Genomic DNA, 9,852 nt, shown 5'->3' with positions numbered 1-9,852 from the left:
CCATACTTAGACCTCTAATCTTTTTCCTTTTTATCTATCCTAGTTCCCCAGTCGATCTCCAACAATTTCGTGGCTTTAAATATTATCTATATATGGACGATCCTCAAATTTGTATTGCGAGCCGAGATCATTCTCTTGCATTCAAGACTACAACTGCCTACTTAACATCTTCACTTGGAAATCTAACGGAAATCTCAAACTTGATAGGACCAAAACCCAGATCCGGGTCTCAATGCGTTCCTCCCACAGCATTCCTTATTTCAGTTAATGAGTCTTCCACCCTTCCTGTTACTTAGGTCAGATATCTTAGAGATACACTCAATTTCTCCCTTTCTGTCTCACCTGGGATTAGAGGCGTGCACCACCACACCTAGCTAATTTTTGTATTTTTAGTAGAGATGGGGTTTTACCATGTTGGTCAGGCTGGTCTCAAACTCCTGACCTCAGGTCATCCACCGCCTCAGCCTCCCAAAGTTCTGGGATTATAGGTGTGAGCCACCACGCCTGGCGGCTTACCTTTCTTCAGGCTATCCTCAGGACAATAACCAGAGTGATCCTATTAAATCACAAATCAAATCCTGTCATTACTTAAAATCCTCCTGGGCTGGGCGCGGTGGCTTATACCTGTAACTCCAACACCTTGGGAGGCCGAGGCGGGCAGATCATGAGGTCATGAGTTTGAGACCCGCCTGACCAACATAGTGAAACCCTTTCTCTACTAAAAATACAAAAATTAGCCGGGCGTGGTGGTGTGCGCCTGTAATCCCAGCTACTCAGGAGGCTGAGGCAGGAGAATAACTTGAACCTGGGAGGCGGAGGTTGCATTGAGCCGAGATCGCGCCACTGCACTCCAGCCTGGGTGACAGAGCGAGACTCCATCTCAAACAAACAAACAAACAAACAAACAAAAAACCAAAAACCCAAAACCATCCCAGGCTACCCACCTTATGTTACAGTTAAAGCCAAAATCCTTTCAATGGCTGGTGAGGCCTTCTGCATCTGAACTCACCTACATTGCTGACCTCATCTACACTACTGACCTCATCTCCCACCACCTTCCTCCTCCCTCTCTGGGTTCAGCCATACTTGCCTCCTTGCCATTCCCGGATGAGGTCCCTGGAAACCTCAGATGATGTCTTGCTTTAGGGCTTTTGCACACTTTCTTCCCTCCATCTGGAATCCTCTTCCCTCAGCTGACCACGTGATTTGTTTCCATACTTCCTTCAGGTTTTCACACAAATGTCATTTTCTAAGTGAGGCATTCTCTTAATTATACTATTTTAAATTAACCCCCTACGTGATGGCATGTGTCTCTAGTCCCAGTTACTCAGGACTCTGAGGCAGGAGGATTGCTTGAACCCAGGAGTTTGAGACCAGAAGGATCAAGAGAATATTTTTGATCCAGCCTAAAAAAATTATTAAATGTCCTAAAATTTTTCAATTTTTCTTCACAACACTAATCACTATCTAATATGTTTCCCACTTATTTAACTCTTCTGTCTACTCCCACTAGAATGTGAGCCCTATCAGGGTAAAAATCATGTTTAACGTACTGCTGTATCCAATGCCTAGAACTGTGACTAGCACATAGTAGGTTCTGAATAAATAAGAGTTGTTTGAGAATGGAATAAATCTACATGTACAGAGATATGCACTGCAGCTTTATTTGTATGATACTAAAAAATGAAAACAACCTGATTTTCCATCGGTGTAATTATTTATTTAATTATTTTTTTGAGACAGGGCCTCACTTTGTCACCTAGGCTGGAATACAGTGGTGCCATCTTGGCTTACTGTAGCCTCGAACTCCCAGGCTTAAGCAATCCTCCCACCTCAGCCCTCTAATTGTTGTATTCTTCGTAGAGATGGGGTTTCACCATGTTAGCCAGGCTGATCTCGAACTTCAAGCCTCAGGTGATCTGCCCGCCTTGACCTCCCAAAGTGCTGGGATTACAGGCGTGAGCCACCAGACCTGGCCCCATCAATGTTTTTATTTATTTTTATTTCATTTTATTTAACTTTTGAGTTGGAGTCTCACCCTGTTGCCCAGGCTGGAGTGCAGTGGCCCAATCTCAGCTCACTGCAACCTCTGCCTGCTGGGTTCAAGCAATTCTTCTGCCTCAGCCTCCTGAGTAGCTGGGATTACAGGTGCCCGTCACCATGCCCAGCTAATTTTTGTATTTTTAGTAGAGGCAGGGTTTCACCACGTTGGCCAGGCTAGTCTCCAGTTCCTGACCTCAGGAACAGGCACTCCAGCCTGGGCAACAAGAGGGAAAATCCGTCTAAAAAAAAAAAAAAAAGGCCGAATGCAGTAGCTCACACCTGTAATCCCAGCACTTTGGGAGGCCGAGACGGGCGTATCACGAGGTCAGGAGATTGAGACCATCCTGGCTAACACAGTGAAACCCCATCTCTACTAAAAATACAAAAAATTAGCTGGGCGTGGTGGCGGGCGCCTGTAGTCCCAGCTACTCAGGAGGCTGAGGCAGGAGAATGGCATGAACCCGGGAGGCAGAGCTTGCAGTGAGCCGAGACTGCACCACTGCACTCCAGCCTGGGCGACAGAGCAAGACTCTGTCTCAAAAAAAAAAAAATTTCCAGGGGACAAACTTTCATAAAGTTTTATACATGTTCACGGGAATGTATGCTATATTAAATTAGAAATAAGGCCCAGCGCAGTGGCTCATGCCTGTAATCCCAGCTCTTTGGGAGGCCGAGGTGAGTGGATCACCTGAGGTCAGGAGTTCGGGACCAGCCTGGCCAACATGGCAAAACCCCATCTCTACTAAAAATACAAAAATTAGCCAGGCATGGTGGTGCACACCTGTAGTCCCAGCTACTTTGGAGGCTGAGGCAGGAGAATTGCTTGAACCTGGGAGGCAGAGGTTGCAGTGAGCCGAGACTGTGCCAATGCACTTCCGCCTGGGTGATAGAGCAAGACTCCATCTGACAAAAAATAAATAAATAAATAAAAATAAACCCTCTGTATATCCAGAGGAAAGGAACATCCTTATTTCTGAAGACACACGGACACAGAGAAGATGCTGAACAAAGAGGCCTTGTGGCTGGGCTCGGTGGCTCTTGCCTGTAATTCCAGCCCTTTGGGAGGCCAAGGTGGATGGATCACTTGGGGTCAGGAGTTCAAGACCAGCCTGGCCAACATGGTGAAACCCTATCTCTACTAAAAAAAATATAAAAAATTAGCTGGGTGTGGTGGCACGTGCCTGTAATCCCAGCTACTCCGGAGGCTGAGGCAGGAGAATTGCTTGAACTTGGGAGACAGAGGTTGCAGCGAGCTGAGAGCACACCACTGCACTGTAGCCTGGGTGACAGAAGACTCCATCTAAAAAAAAAAAAGAAAAAAAGAAAAAAAACCCCAACAACAACAACTGAAAAAGAGGCCTTGCTAAATATCCCCCCCAGCATATTACCATTAGATCATACCCCCTTAGTCTATTCATTATGATCTATTTCTTTATCAAATCTAGTATATAACATACACAGGTTGGCTGGGCATGGTGACTCATGCCTGTAATCTCAACCCTTTGGGAGACCAAGGTGGGAGGATCACTTGAGCCCAGGAGTTTGAGATCAGCCCGGGCAACCTAGCAAGACCCCATCTCCATAAAAAGTTAAAAAATTAGCCAGGTCTGGTGGCCAATGCCTGTAGTCCCAGCTATTAGGGAGGCTAAGGCAGGAGGATTGCTTGAGCCCTGGAGGTCAAAGCTGCAGTGAGTTGAGTTTGTGCCACTGCACTCCAGCCTGTGTGGCAGAGTGAGACCCTGTCTCAAAAAACAACAATAACAACAAAACCAAAAAAAAAAAAGTACACAGGTTTACCCTTTTCTTTTCTTTTTTTTTGAGACGGAGTCTCACTCTGTCGCTCAGGTTGGAGTGCAGTGGCACAATCTCGGCTCGCTGCAAGCTCAACCTTCCCAGTTCACACCGTTCTCCTGCCTCAGCCTCCCGAGTAGCTGGGACCACAGGCGCCCACCATCACACCGGGCTAAGTTTTTGTATTTTTAGCAGAGACGGGGTTTCACCGTGTTAGCCAGGATGGTCTCAATTTCCTGACCTCGTGATCTGCCCGCCTCGGCCTCCCAAAGTGCTGGGATCACAGGCATGAGCCACCGCGCCCAGCTGTTGTTTTTCTAAAGATGGGGTTTTGCCATATCGCCCAGGCTCATCTCAAACTTCTGGCCTCAAGTGATCCTCCTGCCTCAGCCTTCCTAGTAGCTGGTATTATAGGCATGAGCCACAACACCCGGACTTATTTTTAATTTTTCAATACAAACACTGAAGACTAAATATTTCCCTCTAAGGACCGCTTAAACTGTACCCCACAAGTGTTTCCAATACTATTGCTTAGACCACAGTTGAGATTGCTGGTGTATATTGGTTTATGGCAAGTAAACTAAATTTGTTGGCACTTACTAATTATAGGTGACTATAATAATCACTTTAGGAAGTGAAGAACCTGCAGGAGATGCTGCTCACTTCCTTCCTTCTACCCATTAGGTAAAGTAAACCTATTGCATATTTTAGTTGTGACTCATTTCCTCAAAGTTGTACAAACCTAATAATGTTCCCTGTTATAAGGATCTTAGAATCAATAAGGATAAAACAATGCCAATGATAAGTAGTGAAGCAAGTGACCCAAAACATGAACAATGAAGATAAACAGTCCCAGCTCCAAGATATTTACTTAAGTAGCAAGGAGTATATCAAGGAAAATGGCAGTTTTCTTCATAAATGTACTTTTATCTTGTTGTCTACCCTTGCCTGAAGGATGAACTAAAAATTATAGCTTACTAGTAAAATGAAAAGGAAGAGCTCTTTGGCCAGAAGTATTTTTGGCTCTTTGAGCCATGTGATTTGGAATGTTCTCAAGGGCAGCTTTTCATGGTTTGTGTAATTATAGTCAAGGCTGGAATCTATAATTTGTTCTAATTTTCCATGAGTATTCCCCTTGCCACCATTCACTTTCTGCTATTCCACAATTTCTAAGATCCATATTTGGGTGTATATAGTGCAGGTAACTAGGCAACTTGAGAGATTTTTTTTTGTCCGTTAGTGTTATGAAGATCCAGAAGAATGAGGGAGGATTGCATTCATTTATATATCATGTGTATTTATACTAGGTTGAACCATATGAAATTGCTGATCTTTGATCATTTTTATTTCTGGTCATTTTATTTTTTTATTTTTTATTTATTTATTGTTTTTTGAGACAGAGTCTTGCTCTGTCACCCACGCTGGAGTGCAGTGGTGTGATCTTGGCTCACTGCAACCTCCGCCTCCTGGGTTCAAGCGATTCTCCTGCCTCAGCCTCCCGAGTAGCTGGGATTACAGGCATGCACCACCACGCCCAGCTAATTTTTGTATTTTTAGTAGAGATGGGGTTTCACCATGTTGGCCAGGCTGGTCTCGAACTCCTGACTTCAAATGATCCACCCGCCTCGGCCTCCCAAAGTGCTGGGATTACAGGCGTGAGCCACCGCACCTGGCCTTTTATTTTTTTGTGACAGGGTCTGGCTCTGTCACCCAGGCTGGAGTGCAGTGGCAAGAACACGGCTCTCTGCAGCATTGACTTCCTGGGCTCAAGTGATCCTCCCACCTCAGCCTCCCAAGTAGATGGAACTACAGGTGTGAGCCACCACGCCTGGTTAATTTAAAAAGTCTTTTTGTAGAGAAGTAAAAAATTACTTTTTGTAATTTAAAAAGTCATTTTGCCCAGGCTAGTCGAACTCCTGGGCTCAAGTCATCTGCCCACCTCTGCCTTCCAAGGTGCTGGGATTACAGGCATGAGGCACTGCGCCAGCCTTCAACCATGTTTTCATTTCTTTATTTTTGAGACATGGTCTCCATCTGTTGCCCAGGCTAGAGTGCAGTGATGCAATCATGGCTCACTGCAGCCTCTACCTTCTGGGCACAATTGATCCTCCTGCCTCAGTCTCCCGAGTAGCTGGGATTACAAGTGTGCCACCACACCTGGCTAATTTTTGTATTTTTTTGTATAGACAGGTTCTTGCCATGTTGCCCAGGCTGGTCTCAAACTCCTGAACTCAAGCAATCTGCCGCCCCAGCCTCCCAAAATGCTGGGATTACAGGCGTGAGACACCGTGCCTGGCCAACCATTTATAACCTGTGGCTCAACCTTGTATAATTAGAAGCAAATCCTAGGTCATGGTCATGAAAACTCCCTTTTCTGATAAGAGAAAGAAAAAAATGGAGAAAATTAAAGTAGTTTTGTCTTATGTTGATAACTTAAAATTCAAGGCTACTAACTTTTTTTCCACTCTTTTCTTTTCTTTCTTTCTTTCTTCCTTCCTTTTTTTTTTTTTTTAAGCCTCTGAGGGCAGTCAGAATGTTGAACTTTTGATAAGCAGGTTAAGTCTTATCAGGAAATAAGCCTTTTTTTTTTTTTTTTTTTTGAGATGGAGTCTTGCTCCTGTTGCACAGGCTGGAGTGCAGTGGCGTGATCTCAGTTCACAGTAACCTCCACCTCCCAGGTTCAAGCCATTCTCCTTCCTTACCCTCCTGAGTAGCTGGGATTACAGGTGTGCGCCATCATGCCCGGCTAATTTTTCTATTTTTAGCAGAGATGGGGTTTTGCCATGTTGGCCAGGCTAGTCTCGAACTCCTGACTTCAGGTGATCCACCTGCCTTGGCCTCCCAAAGTGCTAGGATTACAGGCATGAGCCACCGCACCCGGCCGGAGATAAGCCTTTGTTTGCTTTGCTTTGAGTCTAAAGGGAAAGACTGGTGATATTACAAATTCTTGGCACACTATTAGATGGGTTTTGTTTTGTATTGAGCACCTGGGGAGAAAAGGACTGATACGGGGAGTGGGAAGGAGTACAGAAAAAATATTGTTGAGTGTGGTGGTTCATGCCTGTAATCCCAGCACTTTGGGAGGGCGAGGCAGGCAGATCACCTGTAGTTGGGAGTTCAAGACCAGCCTGGCCAATATGGTGAAACCCCGTCTGTACTAAAAATACAAAAAATTAGCTGGGCATGGTGGCGGGCGCTTGTAATTCCATCTACTGAGGCAGGATAATCACTTCAACCAGGGAGGCGGAGGTTGCAGTGAGCCGAGATCGCACCACTGCACTCCAGCCTGGGCTACAGAGCGAGACTCCATCTCAACAACAACAACAACAAAAACATTGATATCACAAAGGACCAAGTTAAATTCACTATTCATTTTCATCCAGCCTTGTCATATGAAGAACCAAGACTGTTGCTGTCTCAATAATCTCAAATGAGAATGAGGCCAGTTGTTCTAGAATGCAAACTAATAATACCGTCAGTGCCAACCTGCCCCCAGGGCAGTTTTGCTGCTGCATTGCATACTGGTCCCGTTCTCTGGTCTCGTGTGCTTCTAGCATTTGGTCTTGCTGTGCATTCGTTTTGTGTGTGCATTGCAATGAAACTCACATTCTTAGAAATTTACAGACCTGATTTTTGCCATAATGAATAAATGCTACCCCTGTCCTCCATTTTTCATTTATACAATACTGGAAGGTCTTTTTTTTTTTTTTTTTTTTTGAGATGGAGTCTCGCTGTGTCGTCTAGGCTGGAGTGCAGTGGTGCAATCTCAGCTCACAGCAACTTCCGCCTCCTGGGTTCAAGTGATTCTCCTGCCTCAGCCTCTTGAGTAGCTGGGACTACAGGTATGCGCTACCAAGCTCAGATAATTTTTTGTATTTTTAGTAGAGACGGGGTTTCACCATGTTAGCCAGCATGGTCTCAATCTCCTGACCTCGTGATCTGCCTGCTTCGGCCTCCCAAAGTGCTGGGATTACAGGCATGAGCCCGGCCACCAGAAGGTTTTTTGTTTTTTTTGAGACAGAGTTTTGCTCTTGTTGCCCAGGCTGGAGTGCAGTGTTGCGATCTCGGCTCACCGCAGCCTGCGCCTCTGGGTTCAAGCTATTCTCCTGCCTCAGTCTCCAGAATAGCTGGGATTACAGGCATGTGCCACCACGCCTGGCTAATTTTGTATTTTTAGTGGAGATGGGGTTTCTCCATGTTGGTCAGGCTTGTCTCAAACTCCCGACCTCAGGTGATCCACCCGCCTTGGCCTCCCAAAGTGCTGGGATTACAGGTGTGAGCCACCGTGCCCGGCCCGGAAGGTCTTTTTAACTTTAAAAATCAGAACCTAGCCGAGCATTTTGGGAGGCCAAGGCGGGAGGATCACCTGAGGTCAGGAGTTCAAAACCAGCCTGGTCAACATGGTGAAACCCTGTCTCTACTAAAAATACAAAAATTAGCTGGGCGTGGTGGCGCATGCCTGTAATCCCAGCTACTTGGAAGGCTGAGGCAGGAGAATCGCTTGAACTCGGGAGGCAGAGGTTGCAGTCAGCCAAGATCGCACCACTGCATTCCAGCCTGGGTGACAGAGCAAGACTCTGTCTCAAAAAAAAAAAAAAAATCAGAACCCAGAGCTTTGCATGTTGGTCAGTGAGTGGGGTATACTCTGATAATTTGAGAACAAGGTCAGAAAATGGGATTCAGTGATAGGATGGTAGTAATCAACATAAAAGGCACAAAACCGCCATCAGTGGAAACGAAGCAGGCTGAGTTTGGTTTTTAGATGTGTGTCAGTAGATAGATGTGTGACTTTGGACAAATTGTGTAATCTGGCTATGTCTCAGTTTCTGGATCTGTAAAATGGTTATAATAGTGCTTACCTCACAGAATTATTGTGATTAATGACACTCTGTGTACAAGACTTAGCAAATAGGAATCTGGAATAGCTAGTTAAATTTGAATTTCAAATGAACAACCAATTTTTGTTAGTATAAGTATATCCCAAATATTTTATGGAACGTATGCATTCACATTTAGCTGGGTGTTTTATCTGGCAACCCTGTGTAATTGTTCATTTTAGTGACTAGCACAAATAAATGAAAGCTGTTTATGGGTTGGGCATGGTGGCTCATGCCTGTAATCCCAGAGCTTTGGGAGGCTAAGGCAGGAGGATCACTTGAGGTCAGGAGTTTGAGACCAGCCTGGGCAAAAGAGTGAGACACCATCTACAAAAAATGAAAAATAAATTTTTAAAAAATTAGCTGGGTGTGGTGATGCACACCTGTAGTCCCAGCTACTCAGGAGGCCAAGGCAGGAGGATTGCTTGAGGCCAAAGTTTGAGGCTGTAATGAGTTATGATTGTGCCACTGCACTCCAGCCTGGGTAACAGTGCAAAACCCTGTCTCTAAACAAAAATGAATAGCTATTTCCCATGTCTCCATCAAGAATATTGTCAAGAAGGCATCTTTCAAATTGCATCCAACAGACTAAAATTATCAATAACATAAGATAAACTGCAGTATTCTAGCTGGCTGTTACTTCTCTATCCCCTCCCAGACTGTAGGCTCCCAGAGGGCAGTAACCATGTTTTGTTCTTATTTTCCTGCTCCTATAATCTAGTACTTAGGATAGTGCTTTGCATGTAGCGAGGAACAGGATAAATGCTTATTTGTAGAAAGAAATTCAAGTAAGAGCCAAGTCAAAAGTCTGGCCATGTCTTCACCACTGGCTGGCTGACCATCACAAATCTTCCTATCCAATTAGGGAGAGGAGTTGGGGTGTAAGCTTGTCTGTCAGGGTCCATTGAAATCTTCCAGTTTGTTCACTTCATTTCTATTTTAACCCAGCAACTGATATCTATGATATCAGATATCTTGATATCAACTGATACCTCTTTCTTTCTTTCTTTCTCTCTCTCTTTTTCTCTCTTTCTTTCTCTCTCTCTCTTTTTCTCTCTTTCTTTCTTTTCTTTCTTTTTTTTTTCTTCAAAACAGGGTTTCACCATGTTGCCCAGGCTGGTCTCGAACTCCTGACTTCAAG

The sequence above is a fragment of the Homo sapiens genome, chromosome 6 (genome assembly GCF_000001405.40).
Source record: "Homo sapiens chromosome 6, GRCh38.p14 Primary Assembly".
NCBI classification, from domain to species: domain Eukaryota; kingdom Metazoa; phylum Chordata; class Mammalia; order Primates; family Hominidae; genus Homo; species Homo sapiens.
The sequence above is the reverse complement of the archived record's forward strand: the minus strand, read 5'-3'. Positions refer to the sequence as shown.